The sequence below is a fragment of the Homo sapiens genome, chromosome 2 (assembly GCF_000001405.40).
Source record: "Homo sapiens chromosome 2, GRCh38.p14 Primary Assembly".
NCBI classification, from domain to species: Eukaryota; Metazoa; Chordata; class Mammalia; order Primates; family Hominidae; genus Homo; species Homo sapiens.
Window position 1 is genome coordinate 40,713,481 of NC_000002.12, and position 19,216 is coordinate 40,732,696.

A 19,216-nucleotide genomic window follows, 5' to 3' on the forward strand; every position below is an offset into this window, starting at 1 on the left:
TATTGAAGTTTAGTATTTTTTGCTTTGATTTGTTATTTTAATTTTTTGTTATATTCTTTTTTATTCTATATAAAATATTTTTAAATGAGGGCAACTTTCATTTTTATATATAATCTACTCTTCAATTCTTTAATGTTCATTAAATTACATAATTTTTTAAGATCACTTCATGTATGTGTATTTTAGACTGGCACCTTCTTTATAATAATACAGGACTGACAATAAAATTCAATATTCTTTATGTGATCTGAACAACGCAGAATAAACTATAGTTCTAGTTCCCTTAATATGAAGAGTATATTTCTATTATTAAACTTAGATTGGCATTAGTAATCTTAGCTGCGTTGCTAGCATGTTATAATTTATCCCACAGCATTGAAAGCCAGTGTTCTGTTGAGCTTGGTGGCATTCTTATAGAGTAATCTGAACAGGTGGGTTGATTTCTCCAGCTCACCAAAGTCAATTAGTGGTTGTTATAACCTACCTACATATTGAGTACAATTGCTTTTCTCCTTTATTGGAGAAATATATTTGAAGCATGGGTATTTATTCTCCTTGGTCAAAGGAAGAGTCAGGTAGCAGTGACAATTTTTTGACACGTAGAATTTGAGCAAATGTTAATAGGAAGATAATTGAGTCTCAACATGAAAAATTTTAATGAGACAATGTTTCATATGCCAAACAGCTAACTATTTCACATACAAATAATTCTACTAAGTACATAATGTTTTGATTCTCACCACATAATGTAACGATAACATTGAACAAATATGTTTCATGGGATGTAATTATAAACAACTTAATTTTCAATTCCCATTCTTGCTTAAGTTTATCCTATAGGGTTAATACCCTCCACCCCCTGATAAAATTCAATAGAGTTTCATGATTTTTGTGTTATTTTCAAGAATTAACAGCAGTTTATGTAATTAGTATATCCATGAGTATAATAATCAAACTTTAACCTGCTTAATTCTTGTTTCTTTTATGTTACAACCTGATCCCACCACTGATTAGAAAGAAATGCAGGTGGCAGGTTTTCTCTTTCCTAGTTTATAATTTAGCTCTTCTCCTGCATCTTCCCAACAGTGATTTCTGGCCCTTCCAGAGTCAATAAGAGAGAGGAAATGAGAGAAGAAAATGGGCAGGAAAAGTTCTCACTTAAGTGTGAATGATGTAATTACTTATTACAATCATTATTATTGTAATTAATACTTATTGTGAATAATTATACTGCTCTGAGTTTTGAAAATATGTAAAACTGACATTATCTTCTACAACAATTTCCTGTGTTCTTAGAAGAGTTCACTACTGCAGTTCCCTCGATGCAGACGGTGCATTCTCCATTGGTTATCTGCTTAGGGGTGCACTTTCCTATCTTTCTGTTGAGTTCCATTTGACTCCTTTGGACAAATTTCCTTTAAGAAGTTTCCAGTTGCATATGTATACATGTGCCATGCTGGTGTGCTGCACCCATTAACTCATCATTTAGCATAAGGTATATCTCCTAAAGCTATCTCTCCCCCCTCCCCCCACACCCTAAAACTTGAAGTATAATAATAATAAAATAAAATAAAATAAATTAAAAAAAAGAATTTTCCAGTTGGATTTTTCTTTTGTGCATAGAGTCCACCTCTGGAATATTCACCTTCAGCTCAATATTAGGACTACTGGTATCAGACTTGGACTTCCCTCTGGGGTGAAAGTATGCCTTAACCAGCCTCTTAACCTTTAAGTTTCCAAGCCATAAATTAGACCACTGTACTGTGTACAACAAACTATCTGTGTGTTTCATGAAATGATTCTTCCCTAATCTTGAGGTGAGGAGCAGACACTCCTCCTTCCACTTTGGATTAAAACTCACAGCACCCAACATCTCTCTCTGTCTAAAAATTCTTTGTTCACCATTAACCTCCTCACCCTTTTATACTCTTAACATGGGTGAAAGAGGATTCTACTTTGGAGTGAGGTATATAATGTTTTAGAGTTTGAACAAAAATAAGATTAAATAAGTTTATTTAAAGAATCAGAAACAAAAGCATATTGTGGGCTTTATTCTTTATTCCAGCTGATATTTACGGCATGTCTGCTATATAAGGCACTGTTTTAGTAGCTGGGATTCAACTTTGAAAATGGAACAAAAAACAATACGTTTCATCATAGAGCTGTGTTCTAATTTGAATAGAGAAATAACAAGATGAACAAGTAATGTATGTTAGATGATAATAAGTGCTAAGATAAGAAAATGTTAGTGAGAAAAATTTAATAATGGGTATAGTCAATAATGGTGGTGTAATTTTAGGTAGAGGGAGCAGAGAATAGCTCATGAGAAGCTAATGTTTGAACAAGGACCTGCAGAAGATAAAGTAAGCCATGCAGTCGCTCACGTGAAGAGGAATTCCAGGAAAAGTGGTCAGATAGGGCAACTGCCCTGCAGTGGAAGTGGAAGCACTTTTGACTTTCATTAAGGAAGAAGGAAGACCAGTGTGGTTGAAAGGGAATGATCCAAAAGAAAAGTAGTAGGAAATGAATTCAGAGAGGAAAGTGGGGGAGAGGGTTAGATTGTTTAGAGATTTGGGTCATCAAGAAAACAATGGCTTTTGCCCAAGTGCAACTGGGGACCACTGGAGCTTTCAGAGTGGAAGAAGAAGATCATCTGGATTATCTTTCAGCAGGTTACTCTGCATCTGTGTGAAGAGTAGACTATAAGGGCGGGGAGGTAATGGCAGAAGCAGAGGCCATTTCTGAGGCTACTGCAATAATCCAAGCAAGAGGTGATGGTGTCTTGAAAAGAGTTGATCATCATGGAAACATTAAGAGGTAGTCAGGATGTAGGTGTATTTGGAAGAAAAGCTTACAGGAATTGCTGATGAGTTAGACACGGTGTGAAAAGCAGAGATAAGTCAAGATAAGTGCAGGTTTTTAGCATGAGAAATTGGAAGAAAAAGCTTTTCATGACTGAGATAAAGAAGACTGAGAGAGGAGCACATATGGAATGGAATAGTAGGGGTTTAGTTTTGGACATATTAAATTTGAGATATTATTAGCATTTATCACCTTGATTAGAAATATCAAGAAAGCACTTGGTTACAAAGTCTGAGGTTTAGAGGAGACATACAGGCTTGAGATATAAATTATACTCCTGTTAAATTGAGAGTATATAAGTGCTATTTCCAATATAATTCCTAAAATTACACCAGTATTTTAGATTTAAAAAAAATTAAAGGTTTTTTTTTAAATTGTGTACACATGTATATACACATTTAGTTCTTTTATTAAACTTATGTACATTCATAAATATTCATAAGTAGGGACTGAGCAATAGTATTTGGCATCTGCTGGATTGTTTTAATACTTTCTGAAAAAATAATGTCCTGTTATAAAACACTCCAGTTATTCTGGATTTCACTTTGGCCACCAGTGTTTCTTCATTTTTTTCTACATAGCAATCACTACTCTAGTCTATGTAAGTCATGGCTGTGACGGTTAATATTGAGTGTCTACTTGACCGGATTGAAGGATGCAAAGTATTCATCCTGGGTGTGTCTGTGGGGGTGTTGCCAAAGGAGGTTAACATATGAGTCAGTGAACTGGGAGAGGTAGACCCACCCTCAATCTGGATGAGCACCATCCCCTGGGCTGCCAGCTGAGCTAGAAAAGGCAGACAGAAGAAGATGACTAAGCAGACTTTCTGAGTCTTCCAGCCTTTCTCCTGTATTGAATGCTTTTTGCCTTGAACATCAGACTCCAAGCTCTTCAGCTTTTGGACTCTTGGACTTACACCAGTGGTTTGCCAGGGACCCTCGGGCCTTTGGCCACAGACTGAAGGCTGCACTGTCAGTTTCCCTACTTTTGAGGTTTTGGGACTCAGACTGATCTGCCACTGGCTTCCTTGGTCCTCAACTAGCAGACAGCCTATCATGGAACTTTACCTTGTGATGGTGTAAGTCAATTCTCCTTATAAGCTCCCTTTCATATATACATAGATCCTATTAGTTCTGTCCCTCTGGAGAACCCTGACTAATACAATGGCTATTAAATTAAAAAACCCAATGGTGCTTGTCTTCTTCTCAGGCAACGTGTACTCTCTTATGGAGGGCCAGTGCTATCTGAATCAAAGTATAAACTGTTCTCTCTCCTGTTCCCTCAGAATAACGTAGATGACAGGAAGAAATAGCATTTGAAAAAAATTGCATGCTTGAAAAAGTGGAACAATACTAACCAGTGCCTAAGAGGGGCACAAAACTGTCTATACTTTTTACACTTCAATGGATGTGAAATAATTACATCTTATGGAATCAGAATTTCAGAGTTCAAAGAAATATTAATGGTCTTTCAGGCTACGAATAAGAAAACTGAGAAGGTAAGTGATTTTATCAAGTTATTGGGGCTGATATCTAGCTGAGCTAAGAGTTAGGTGTTCTCCTTCTGATCTTTCAAGACAGTGCTTTTAAACTATACTGCAATGAACAGACCAAATAGTTTTCTCTCTTAAACGTTAACACTCTGGGATTAAGAGCAAAACTCAGTACTTAGGTCTTAGTAGTTTGTATTAACGGAGTCTCAAACAGTACTGGAACACAGCACACACACACAGTACATTATAGTTGAAGTTTGTTTCTTCGTGACAGAGTTGTACAAATATCAGGACATAATGTGATTAAATTAGAGAAAGGTAAAAGCATTCTATAAGAAAAGGTGGGCAAGTTATACACACATGGTCTTAATAGCTAATAAATATAAAGGAAATGAGAAGTTGTTAGTTTATTTAGTGGAACAGACCTATCCCATTTACTGCATCCCACAGTCTGGGTGTTGTGACTAGTATTACAATGCATTCTACAGTTTGAGGAAGTAACTTGGCCTTGGTCCTACCAACAACTACACATGCTTTCCTGTGAAAACTATTTAACTTGTCCAGGCCTCAGTCCCCTTACCTGCAAATAAAGGGGTATAGAATATTCTCTACAATTTCTTACAGCTTTATGACGAAGAAGATCTTAACTTACCTCTCAGCTGGACTAAACTTTAGACAGGCTTTCTTCTAACTCTAGGCCTTGATCATCTTTTTTTAGACCATTTACTTTAGAAAGCTTTTAATTGTAGATTGTTTCTCTGCCCCCTTTGAGATATCTCTTTTAAAGCTTTTTGACACATTTTCAACCCAGGAATGTCTTTCTCAAAGACTTGCAAGCCATCCCTTTGAAATGTATTCATCAAGAAAGATAGTATCCCTATCTTTCTGTGTGAGGGTAGCAGCCTAACTTCTAGGCGCCTTTCTCCAAATTGTAACACTATCTTCTGGCATAAAGATAGGAGAAACTTCACTTTTCCTTTGGTCAAGGCCAGCCAGCAAACCCAGATGGCCTTTGATTTCTCCCAGCCCAGCTCTTTAAAACTCCCATCCTTTGTTTCAGGGAGTTGGGCTCAGACTAAGTTCTGACCTCTCTCCCTTATTTCAATAGCCTTAAAGGTCTTTTTTACTTGTTTAACTTGGTATTGGTGCAATTTTCGCTTTAACATTTATTATTCCATGTATCTTTGAATCCTCATGACAGGAAACATTATAAATAATGGTCTCACTGTGAGTACTTCCCAGCTAATCAATTAATTGTGATAATATATCAATTTTGATGGTAAAAATTAATAATAATGTGGGATTAGAACAAATTGGGGACTGTCTTTTTTGAAAAAAATGGTGGCAAGAAATGGAAATATACTTTTTCTCTTTAAAGAGATTTTGTTATTGAAATATCTGAACTACAAGTTAACATTAAATAATCATGTATCTCTAGTTGATTTCATCATGTGCAATTTACTTTTAACTATTAAGTCTATTAAGTGGGGCTTCCATACTTACTTATCATTTTCACTTCTGATACTCTATTAGAATACTAGAGAACAAATACAAACGAGATAAACACATCAGAGAGGACATCAGAAGATGATTACTACAAATCATTGGAACATAAGAAGGAGTGATAATGGGTTTAGCAAAAAAGGAAGAAGCTTCAATATAAAATACTCTTATAGTAAGATTCTCTTGACAAAGGAACTGCAGCTCTGCTTTTCAGAACTCTGGAAAGACTCAGAGAGGATCTAAAAACATCCTACATGATTAATGGAACGCATGAGATGAGCTGGAAGGAGGGGGAAGAAGGATTAAATGTTCCATCTCTCAACTTATGACGGAGGATCACAACAATTGAGTGGTCATTGTTGAGATACTGAGATCATCTTAACAGAACTGCTGGTCTTCTGCCTAATTATCTTCCATTAAACTTTCACAAATAGATAATCCCTATTCACACACAGAGAACTTTCAATAGCTTTTCATTGCTTCTTTCTTAAATAAAATTGCATAACCAATTGCACCATATGTTTAAGAAAAAATTGCAACATAAAAATGAGAGACCAAATAATTAAACATAAAATTATTCTTTGACAAAAACTATGATTGTTAATAGAACATAATATGGAAGACATTTTAAGCATTCTGATAGAGATTTCAGATGACATTCATCATTTCAAGACCAGCATGTGATGAAAAGCATGTCAAACAAATAAAAACAAAACAAAAAAGGACCCCACGTGAAATAAAATTTGATTCTGGCAAAATAAACTGAATATGTTTTTTTAATAGGAATGCCATGAGATAAAGTTAAAGAAAGATCCAGAAAGTAGAAAAAAAAGAAAATATGGAGAAAATGTGGAGATCAAAATCTAACTAATAAAGATTTCAGAGAGAATTAAAAAAACAGAAAACAATAATTTCACAAAAATACAGTAACATTTTCCAGAACTGAGGAACAAAGTAATAATCCTTTTTAAATGGAGAGAAGTCATGAATAAATGAACCAAAAACATGTATCTAGATGTACCCTCATGGCATTTCAGAAAACAAAAATTAAAGGGAATTTTTCAAGAAAAGTAAAGCAGGTCACATACAAAGGACTGCAAATCAGACTGGTAACAGATTTTTTAATCAATACTCAAAGTTTCAGAAGGTGCACAGCAGTGTTTTCAACATTCTGAGGGGATTAATTCTCAACCTACAATTATATCCTTAAACTGCATAGAAAACTACATAGTATAACTTTAGATAGAAGGCATTTTCAGACAAAGACCCAAAAAGTTTATCTTTCCAAGACCCTTTTCTAAAAAGCTATTTCAGGATATACTTCTGCAAAATGAGGCAATGCACCAGTAAAGAAGAAAACAAAGCCTTCATAAAACTGTTGATGCAGTTAAGGAGAATAATTAAGGGAACTTAATTAGGTCAAGGGAGCTTAGTTAGGGTCTCAGGGAAAAGGAATACTGGCAAGTCTTAGTGGGAAGCATTAAAAGCATTTAAATATGTAAGTGTAACATCTGGGGGAATTATAAAGTAGATGATATAATCTTCAACGATTTAAAAATGATAAAATAATTATTAATAATTATGAGGTGAAGGAAGGGATACGGAAAGTCATGACATAATGTAAATTTTCACTATATTTTATTGAGGTGGCATGATCAATAATGTTTAAAACTGAAACATTCTGTTATAAAAACATAAGTTCTGGATATTTTGTTCACATATAAGTAGACACACACACACGCATATATTTTTCTTTTTTCTATAGATCAGTTAGCCAATAATAGGTATGTCATGGACAATTAGTAGTTCGGTAATTAAGTTTCAGTCTAGTTTCTTTTCTCAAATACAAATAAGATTAAATAAAATAATTAGATTGCCTTAGCCTAGGTGCCTAGAAAACATACTGGGGCAAAGTTTACATATTAGTAATGTATTTGGAGTGCAAACTCAGGGCACCAAAAGTAAAAAAAAAGAAAGAAAGAAAGAGAGAGAGAGAGGAGAAGAAAAAGAAGGAAAGAAAGAAAGAAAGAAAGAAGAGAGGGAGGGAGGAAGGAAGGAAGGAAAGAAAGAGAGAGAGAGAAGGAAAGAAAGAAAGAAAAAGAAAGAAAGAAAGAAAGAAAGAAGGAAAAACTGTGAGGCAAGGAAAGACAGTAAACAAATATAATATATTGAGCCCAAATCTTCAAGAAAATAAAACTGACTGTATAAGTGTGCAGAACATCCTTGAGAAGTCACTGGAACACTGTGCCTTGAAATAGTTCAAGGGAAGAAAAAGTATGAAAATTATATGCTGGATCCTTCCTGTCTCTTGTCCCTCATTAGTCAAGTTTGTCCCATGGGACATTTATCTCCCTGTACATCCAGGTTATATGAACCTCTTTCTGTTAGAATCTGAAGACTCCAAGTTTCAGCTGGTTCAGACCTGGACACTGGCATAGTTGTGACTCATGCTTCAGGGGTGTGACATACGCTATGCTGAAGCCAGGCATAATCACTGGGGAAGGCAGACACCACCAGTGAAGTTAGAAGATGAAACTACAGTAATGCAAGAGGCAGCAGAGACTCTCCATTGAGCAAACAACATAGGTCTATGAGCTGGTAGACAGAGAAGACACACCAATATAGGGAGTATACATTCCTGTTGGAAAGGGTAAACCACCATCTCTTCCAAGGTATAAGGGGCTCATTACTGTAACTGACACAGTTCAGCCACTGTGTTTCCCTGAATTGTGCCATAAGGAGGATTTAGCACCTGTGCTTGCTGCTGACAGAGCTGGGTATTCAGAAGTGGCAGTAACTGTAACAGACTTGAGAAAAAGTCCAGGTTATTGAACCCATACATTGTCTCCATTCCTGCCACCGTAATTATTCTCCTCACTGGCTCTTCAGAACCACCAAGATTAACAAAAGGAAAGTCTGGCAGACATTCCACAAGGTGGGTTATCTTGTTCAACTGACTGTTGAGAGACTTGGCTGTGGAGGATTTTCTCCAATGTGCATTAGTGTGAGACCAAAACATCTGCACTTTTAGTGATCACTCACATAGATCCATCTGCATTATACCTCTTCTTCACACTGCCTTGTCTCTGATTTTTCAGTCATGCACCAGGTTCTGCCTAAAGACACAATTCACTTACTAGTTTCAGAACTTAGAATATGCCTTCGCCTTGGGCCACTTCTGCCATACAAGGTGGGCAACCAAGTATACTGCTTACAACTTTGCATCCCCCTCCATCCCTGAGGAGGATTCCTCTTTATACTTTCATTTGGGGCCATCTTTGAATTGGGCTGTTATGAATCAGCAGCAGAGTTGTGGCAGATGTTGCAATATCATGACAACCAATTTGCAAAGTAGGGCTCCAGTCCTTTCCTTCCTTGACTATTGGTTGTAGTGAGGCTCACTTGGATGTAAGCTGGAGAAGAGTTGATATAACAGAAGTAGGTGACATGGGAGTCTGGACAACCTGTTTATGTAATTTACTTCTGTCTTCTTCATTTGCTTGAGCCTGATCCTCAAGAAACACTTTCATTATAATGAATTGGTGCGGCATTTACCTGACCTTGTGTACTGGGGCCCTTCACGCTAATGTCACGAGACAGCGGCATCCCCACATTCTTTCTTGTTGGCTAAATGGGAAGATAGAACTTCTATGTGCCTAGTCAGGACATAAATGATTGTTCAGGCATAACGGAGGACCAGATAAACCCTGGTTCTCAACACCATTCTGGAGGCTGTGGCAGCTAGTGTAACAGGACATGAGGCAATAATAGCTTCAGCTGAAGTTCTAAATTAAGCAAGTGGTTAAAGTTGGGTGACTGTGAGAAGATACAAGGAGATAAAAAATTGGATTTGTCCTAAATCTTAAGAAATTATATGTATTATATTTTTAGTTTTAGAAACAATATTTATATCTACTTATCTACCTACCTATACACTCATTTATCCATTTACCCATCTACTCATGTATTTATTGATTATACTTTAATTTGTAATTATTCATAGAAAGATGTCTAGAGAGATGTTATTAGTGTTTGCTTCTTGAGATGACTTTAGGGAGAGTAATGACGTCAGATGTGAAGAGGAAATCTTTATTCTCATTTTATATGTTTTGGTACAAGTTGAATTGTTCATATTATTTTACATTTATGAAGTTTATTTTTAAAATTTTGTCAAAAGAAATTACTGAGCAAAGATATTTTGGCTCCCATATTTTTCTGAATAACATCCAGGGTTTCTTTTTTTTTTTTTTTTTAAACAATGAATATTATGCAAACTTTAAGCAGAAAAATATGCTACAATTGGAAAAAAATTTGTATTTTCTCTTTGTATATCTTCCCCCTCCCAATGTTTTCCTTGAGTCAAAGTTGAGGAATTGGATTCTGGATGAATGCTGTAATATCAATTAACTACAACTATACATAGTATTTTGAAAGATAATTAGCAATTGTGCTGTCCATAATCATTGTATTCATTCTTTCCATATTCAACTTTAAAAGAACAATTAGAAATGTGAATGCGCTTGGCTTTTTATGGAATGATTTAATAATGGTCTCTAACAAGCTTGAACTCAATTACCAAGGTTTATTTCCATTATATTACCTTCTGTGCTTTGGTTTTAGACAACCAGAATCTGTCACATCAACTACTTTTCTATCTACCAAAGGTACTTATTTACATTTGTATAATGATATTTTGCAAAAACAGTACAATGGTAGTCCATTTGCTATTACAAATAAAGGTCACTTTCAAAGTTTCTGTAACAATTTTCTACACTTTAAAATGCGCACACTTGCTTTTTTGTCTGGTATTTTTTCTGTCATGTTAATGAAAATATCAATTAGAGCAGGGGTGCCCAACCCCTGGTATGAGTCCGTGGCCGCTTAGGAACCCAGTGCCACAGCAGAAAGTGAGCAGCAGGTGAGCGAGAATTACTGCCTGAGAGCTTCACCTCCTGTCAGATCAGTGGCGGCACTGGATTCTCACAGGAGTTCCAACACTGTTGTGAACTGCACATGTGAGGGATCTACATTGCACGTTCCTTATGAGAATCTAAAGCCTGATGATCTGAGGTAAAACAGTTTCATCCTGAAACCATCCCCACTCCTGGTCTGTGGAAAAATTGTCTTCCACAAAACCAGTCCCTGGTGCCAAAAAGGTTGGGGACCACTGAATTAGACGGTTCTATTAGTCTAGTCTAACCATCATTATTATTCCAATAATTGTCATCATGGTTATTATCACGATTATCTTTGTTGTCATCAAAATTACATTTTCTCAGGAGTTTTACAAAGTCGAATTTTTAACTATAGTATTTCATGATATTTTACATCTCCTTCCTTTATAACTTAAGGAAGTCACACTGAAACTTTCTTAGATATTAAATTCATATTTATTTTTCCAAAAGCTTATAAAGAAAAAGACAGAAAAATAATACTATCCTGGATGAAAACCATGAAAGATAAAGGAAATGTTAATGTCACAGATGACACGTTGTACTTAATAGGTACTAAATGATTTCAAAAATAATTCATATTAGATAAATAATTCTCGAAAGAAGGCAAGCAAAAGTAGCAATGAGAAACCAGGTTACATTTCTCTTAAAGGTTGTGTTAAGACATACTGCAAATTTTTCCATTAAATTCTGAGAGGAGTAATACATAGAATACATAGAAAAGATGAAAAGGGACTGCCTTTTATTTATTTTTTTGGGGCAGTCACTTTTGTCACAAAATTAGCATGTTGAGTCTATTTATATTTAAATAGGAAATAAATCATATGCCAAACATTTATGTGCCCTTAAGTTATTTCTGTAAATAGTGCAGTTGTACGTGTGTGGGTGTTTGTGTAACTAGGTGATCCACTGAACATTTTTACTGAGAAGCAGAGTTCTACTGGCTGTCAAATACTAGAGTGTTGGCTAGCGTAGCTTGTGGCAACAGATCTGAGAGCTGTGTCTTGGCAGTACCCACACTCCCTGAATCCCTGACAGTAGGGCAAAGCTGCATGAAATCCAGGGATCAGTCTAGTGGCAACAACGTCTACCTGGGGTCATTTAAAATCTTGCTCAAACAATTATCTAGGGGAGAGAAGAGCTACCAACAGAGAGAAGGTGTGAAACAAAGTGAGAAAGCATGGGCTTTGGAAAACCTGGAGCTCAAAGAAGAAAAAGAAAACAGAAATTGCTTTCCCTATCAATATAGGTGCAGTTATAAGGGATAGCAGGATAGTCTAGCAGGACAGAGCTAACAAAGCTGCCTAAGAAAGAGTCTGCTTTAAAAATTTAAAAATTTGCCTATCTCCAGGAATAATGGACATTTTCCAATCTTACCAGTAATATAAAATATTTTTTAGATGCCTATCTGCCTCTCCTTCTTCTCTCTCTTCCATTCTAGCAGAGTGGAAATTCCTTTTAGCCAGCTTCAGGAGGGGGGAAGAAGTAGAATTTGAGAGAAGTGAATACTACTGCATTGCCTCCTCTCACTGCAAATAGCCAGCTCTCAGCAGGACCCAGATGCAGAAGAGGAAAGGCTGACCTCTTCACCTTCAAAGTTTTGATTATTTTATGGTACTGGACATTCTATTTACTGAATTTATATTATGTTTAGTAATTCTAATTGAATATAGAATTTCCTATTACCTGTGAGTAGCCGAAAAACGGCATGAGATTTCCTGGGTTGTGGAAAACCTGTATCTGTACTTTCCTATTAGCAGTGTTAAAGAAACAGTAGGAGATAATTACTAATTTGTTTTTATGATTACATCACATAGAACTGGTTTTTCAACATGCTGTTGTAAACACCCACACAAATAAGGAAATGGAATTAGTTTGCCCTTTAAAATTTGCTGGAATTCAGGTGCACTTAATCCATCACCCCAAGAGACTCTATTTGTTTCACCAGTTGGCAGGTTTCCCACAATTTACACCTTCATGGTGCTCCTACTGGAAACTGAAATCTCCAGCTAATCACAATATCTAGGTATAAAAAGACCTGTATTAAGGTAGCTGGGGTCTTAGTGTTTGAAAATCAACATACAACTTCCTAAAAGAATTTATAGCACAACCGTTTCAGAGGGAGAATCTAAGAGTGACCAACTGAAGACCCTGTTTTAAAAGGGTAGTCACTGGCCATCTATATCATTGGTTAAAATGCATGTCTCAGAGTCTTACCCCATATCTTTTAAGTAGGTCTGAGTGTGCTTATCAAGCTTCCCTGGTGATGCTTATACACACTAAGCACCCAAAAGCTTCCGCATTAATAGAAAGCTCTGCTGCTTTCATTAATCCCTAGGCCAAATAAATTACAAACAAAACTTTCAGAATTTCGTGGAGCAAGAAAGGACAACGGTGGAACTCTTTCTGCATTTTGTCCATAATGCTTCAAATACAAATTTTGGTATGAATTCTTTAAAAAGTATTTTTCTACTGTTGCTCTTTGTTATTATTTTTATTTAAAATTGTTATTAATTTTCCATATAAACTCTCATCAAATCAAAGATAAAGGCACAGATAGAGTCAAAGTTTTTTGGTTTCCTTAGCAATTTTCCATAGAAAGCAGATAAAATGACCTTTTCATGTTACTGAGAGCTACAGATGCAGAGTCAAACACAGAGAAAATGAACTTAATGTTGGGTAACAATTCTTGACAATGATTTGAACACTATCTTACAACTGGATGTCTTTTTTAAATTCTAGGTCACTGCAATAGCCCATACAGGCTAAGTTACACTTAAATTCCAAATAAGTGTATTTTTTTCAGTGAAACATTTCTTGATCTTTACCTTTCTTTACAATATATCCTATTCAAAGTTCTCAAAATATGGGGAGCATCAATAGATTTTTGTTATTGTTGTTGCTATTGTGAGGTTAGTCATAGTTTTTCAATTCTGTTGAGCTAAAATAGATTAAAAAAAAAACATTGACTAAGGGACACCATATTGGAAAAATGACTAGGCTCCAATAAATTAAAATTATATATTTTTTCACTTTTCTATTAAAACTCATCAATTTGTTGTATTTTTTATTGAGTCTCATACCTTCCCATCCTAGGCAAAGAAAGAAAATGACTGGTCAAATATAACAAAGGCAGTGGTACTGTAGGTAGGAGTCAGAAGCCATTGGTGCTATTGTCCCATGTGTTTCCTCCAGACAGAGTGCTCTGAGTAGAGCAGAGAGGAGTATCAATCATATCTTAGGACCAGGAAGGAAATATGACAACACTGCTCTCTCAAAGAGCCAGAAAAGTAAAGAGCATCTTTCTTTATGCATTGTGCTTCTTTTTAAACATTTTATTTTTATTCTGATTACACCTAGGGCTAACAATAATTTTGCTGACTGGATGTTGATTTGTTCCCAAGGCTGTATTTAACAAAATAAATGTTTATAAGAATTGAGTCTCTGACCTTACAGGAATCTCAAATACCCCAATATCAAAGGGACGCATTGTATTTTTTAACTTATCTTAATACAAATAATATTAATTATTATTATAAGGTATATGACAAACTTTAGCTATTGCATAAAGATTTCAAAAGCCCTGAGAAGTACCTGTAAATTGAAAGGAATAATTGGGAAATACAAGTCAAGAGAAAACTACTGGACATTGGATAAAGAAAGGATGACCTGGTAGAAGAGTAAAACAAAAATTCTGCCTATAGGCTCCAGTCATGAAAAACAATGACTTGAAAAAATACATAGTAAAATAAGAAATATGCACTATTTAACTGTATACATTATATAATTATGTGATGACATTATAGAATATAGTTTCTATATTATTATAGCATGTAAATATTAATATATTATAGAATATATAAGATATATTCTATATTAATATTATAACAGAATAGTGTATAATAGTATATCATACATATTACACATTAATATTTAATGTTGCATATTATACTGCTTATATCATACATAATGTTACATATACTACTACTTATTTTCCTATTATATAATACATTATGGCAGTAGACAAAGGTGAACATATAGAAATTCCTGTTTTGGGGTTTGTGTGTATGTATAGTGCATGCACACATGAGATAAGTGATATTTTCTCTATGTGGTAGAATTATGGGTGATTTTCACTTTAATTTTTCCACTATGCCAGCTGTTTAGAAATGTGTTGTATTGCTCTTCCAATCAGGAAAGAGTTACTAAAACACATTTGAGCAACAATGTCAAGTAAAGGGGATGAGGCAAGAAAATAGGGAAATAGTTGGGAAGAGTGTGTGAAAGAGTCAATAAAATAGGACTGACTCCAGGGATGATATAGCTCCTTTGCCCCCATCTAGCCTACGTGATGCAAGCATGATTCACAGAATACACATACACACATATATACACATACAGATATATAAACACACATTATATATTATACACATTACATATATGATAGGTGTGTAATAAAGAAACCTGATAATAGAACAATCAATACACAATCGACTTTAATGACTAGAACATTATCAATTTCTTCCCATATATCTATGTGCTCCTTCCCTAACCCATATCCCTCTGTCCTTACTGAAGAACTAAACACTAATTTGATTTGTATTTATTAGGAACTTGCTTTGTGTGTGTGTTTGTGAAAGTCTTTCTCTTAGATACATATGCCAGTTTTTCTCTTTGATGAGTTTTATGAAAATAGAATTTAATACCTTCTGTTATTTCTTCATTCAATGCTATGTTCTAACATGCATCTCTATTGATACATACAACCCTCATTTATCTATTTCCATTTCTATGTAGGTATTCCACTATATGAATGTATTACAAAGAATTGATTGACATTTGCTATTCTTGATTTGTATTGGTTTACATGGGCAAGAGAATTCTCTACAGTGTAGGCCTATATATGTGTTATCAATTGTTGGTATTTACTCATTCTCAGGAAAAGTATGTTTCTTCCCTTCCTTTTTAATTTAAAACCATAAGTTGGCATTGAATTTTATTAAAAGTTTTTTACTAATCTATTGAAATATTTATATTTTTTCTTACTTAACCTGATAATTCAATGAATAACAATGTAAGATTTTACAATGTTTAGCCATTCTTGAATCTATTAGGAAAGAAACAACTCGATGCATCTTTTTTATCCATTGCTGAATTCAGTTTGCTAAGACACTCTTTGGGAGCTTTTGTATATATTTCTTGGGGGAGTGATGTTTTAGGGTGTAATTTTTTTTTCTTGGAGCATAATAGTCTGGTTTTTAAATAAAGCATAAAATCTGACAAGTAATGCTTCCTATTTTACTATTGTCTGGAAGGGACAACATAGAATTAATGATCAACTTCTTGAGATAAATTAGAATTCACCTATAGAACTATATAAACTTGGTAATTTCTCTGTGTAAAGGTTTCAATCAAATTAATTTTTTAATGAACATAAAAGTATGCAGGCTTAAATTTTCATTTTCAGTCAATTTTGCTGTCATATTTCAAATGTATTGGTATTACATTATTGTAATATTAGTACTAGTTAGGGTTCCTCAGAGAGAGAGATTTAAAGAAATAGCCTCATGCAATCACAGTGTTAAGTCCAAAATCTGTAGGGAAGGCCACGTGGCTGGAAACTCAGGCAGGAGTTGGAGTCACAGTCTTGAATCCAAACCCATAGGTCAAGCGAACAGATAGACATTCAGGCAGGATTTCTATTATTCAAATAACAGATTATTATATTATTAGAATATAATCTTGATGAAGGAAACTTTCTTTTCTGAGAAACCTTGGTTTTTGCTCTGAAGCCTTTCAACTGATTGAATGTGGCCCACCCACATCATCATCATTCTTTACTTAGAAGTCATTTGACTGTAGATGTTAATCACATCAACAAAATATCTACACTGCAACATCTAGACTAGTGTTTGGCCAAACAAGTGGACACCATAGCCCAGCCAAGTTGACACATAAAACTAAGCATCAATCCCAGCACTTTGGGAGGCCGAGGTGGGTGGATCATGAGGTCTGGAGATCGAGACCATCCCGGCTGACACAGTGAAACCCCGTCTCTACTAAAAATACAAAAATGAGCTGGGCGTGGTGGCGGACACCTGTAGTCCCAGCTACTAGGGAGGCTGAGGCAGGAGAATGGTGTGAACCTGGGAGGCAGAGCTTGCAGTGAGCCAAGATCGCGCCACTGCACTCCAGCCTGGGAAACAAAGCAAGACTCTGTCTCAAAAAAAAAAAAAAAAAAAAAAAAAAAGCATCAAAGTATTCTATTATTTTTGGGGGGAGTGGTACTAGTATACTAGTAGTTATGTAGTCTTTTCATATCTTAATATTTACTGTGCTGCTTCTCATTCTCTTTGATTGCTGTCATTAGAACTTGTCTATTTTATTAATTTTTCAAATAATAAATTTTGGCCTTGTAAATGTATTCTAATATTTTTCTAAGGTTTTTTCTTAAATTCCTTATGTTTTTATTTCTATTTTAATTTTTTTGTACTGTTCTTCAAAGTGTTTAAGTAAATATATGCTAAATCACCCTTCAGTATTTTCTACCTTTTTAATATTAGCTTTAAGGCTATATATTTCCCGCTAAATACTGCTTTCTCTGTAACTTACAAGATACAATATGTAGTATTTTCATTATAAAAATATTTCAAAAATTATTTTATTTTTAAATTTAAATATTAGACACTACTAATATTATTTCATTAGTGTTATTTAACATTATCAATTAGGACATATGAATACAAAGAAATTGTTTTTTTTATAAAAAGCAGTGATTTTAATGCTGCCAATTCATAATGAAATCACTTAAACATTATTGGAAGCTATCTTCATAGACAGGCCCTTATAAAACATGCAAATGATAAAAAAACTGCTCATTGTTTCATTAAAAATATATTTATTGAGCACCAGTAAGTGCCAGTCTGTTTAATAAGTTAATAAGTTATATTTAAAAAACTTCTAGGTATCACTAAAAAGAGTTCTAGAAACTCATATGCATAACTTTAAATAGGAATGCTATTAATTTTACTGAAAAAGATAATGTGTGTCTGTATTTCTGTGTGTGTCTGTGTTTCTGTGTGTGTGTGTGTTTAAATGTTACTGTTGTTGGGGTTCAGGGCTTAGTAAAACCTTTTTTGTTTCACTTTTTTGAGTTTAAGCCAAAAAGGTCCAGAGGGATACTGTGATTAGAGATGTAATTTAGATATAAACTTTGAGCTCTATGCCACATATTTTCAAATAAAAATATTACATAGACCATATGGTAGAGTAATATGTATTGACTGTCTACTACAAACACAATACTCAATGCTTATATGTTCTATGAACAATTTCCAGCACCAAATATGCACTATATGTGTCTATTTTCAAATATTTATATCATGTCCTTTAAGTCTTTTATTGTTTTTATAGCTATATTGATCTCAATTTAAAACATAACCTTAATAAAAATAAGCTGTAAGATTTGATGTATGTGTATGTGTCTATAAATACATGTAAAACCATCACCACTATCAAGATAATAAACATATCTAGAAATTCCAAAATTCTCCTATGTTCCTTTATAATTTTTCCCTCTTGCCTCTCCCCCACCTAGCCATCCTCAGGCAATCACAGATACGCTTTCTTCAGCTACAGTTTTCCCTGCTTTTGAAATAATTTTATATAATTGGGATTATAGAGAATATATTCTTTTAATTTTTCAGAGGCAGGTAATGCTTTTTTTTATTCAGCATAATCAATAGTACATTTATTTTTATTGTTGAATACTATGTTTCCATATGTATGCTGCTATGGATTGAATGTTTGTGTCCCCCATCACCAAACTTATATGTTAAAGCTTTTGGGAGGTAATTAGGTAATGATGGTGAGGTTTTCATGATGGTATTAATGCCCTCATTAAAACAGGGAGAAACAAGAGCTCTTTCTTTTACACCAAAGAGAGGCCACGTGAGGACATAATGAAAAGAAGGCCATCAGCAAAAAAAGAAGAGGACGGTCACCAGACTCCAAATCTACTGGCACCTTGATTCTGGACTTCCTATTCTCCAGAACTGTGAGAATTAAATGTATGTTGTTTAAGCCTCCCAGCCAACTATTTTGTTATAGCAGCCTGAACTGACTGACACATATGGATATTCTATAATTTGTTTTTTCACTCATCTGTTGATGGGCATTTGAGTTATTTATAATTTGGGGGTATTAAAAATCAATATTCTATGACAATTTAAGTGCAAGTTTTCTGTTGAGTAAGTACAAATGGAATGATTGGATCATCTGGAGGGCATTGCATTGTCAATGTTTTCCAAAGTGCTGAAAAACTAGCATAGTTGTCACCTCATTTTATTTTTCATACTCGGAACTTTGGTTTGGATCTTTTTGACCATCTACTCATCATGGTTGCACT

At 34.6% G+C, this 19,216-nt stretch overlaps 2 long non-coding RNA genes across 7 annotated transcripts in view; one reads left to right on the plus strand and one right to left on the minus strand.

Annotated features, from left to right (window-relative positions):
• LOC105374497 (uncharacterized) overlaps positions 1–19,216 on the minus strand; it is a 291,527-nt gene that overhangs the window by 34,740 nt on the left and 237,571 nt on the right. The window lies entirely within an intron of this gene.
• Positions 3,796–18,825, plus strand: LOC105374491 (uncharacterized). Of its 2 annotated transcripts, none has more exons than XR_939993.3 (3): positions 3,796–3,940; positions 4,148–4,360; positions 18,718–18,825. It is a non-coding gene; the product is annotated as an uncharacterized LOC105374491 (long non-coding RNA). The 2 variants fall into 2 exon arrangements; XR_939992.3 differs by lacking the exon at positions 18,718–18,825 and adding an exon at positions 5,888–5,974.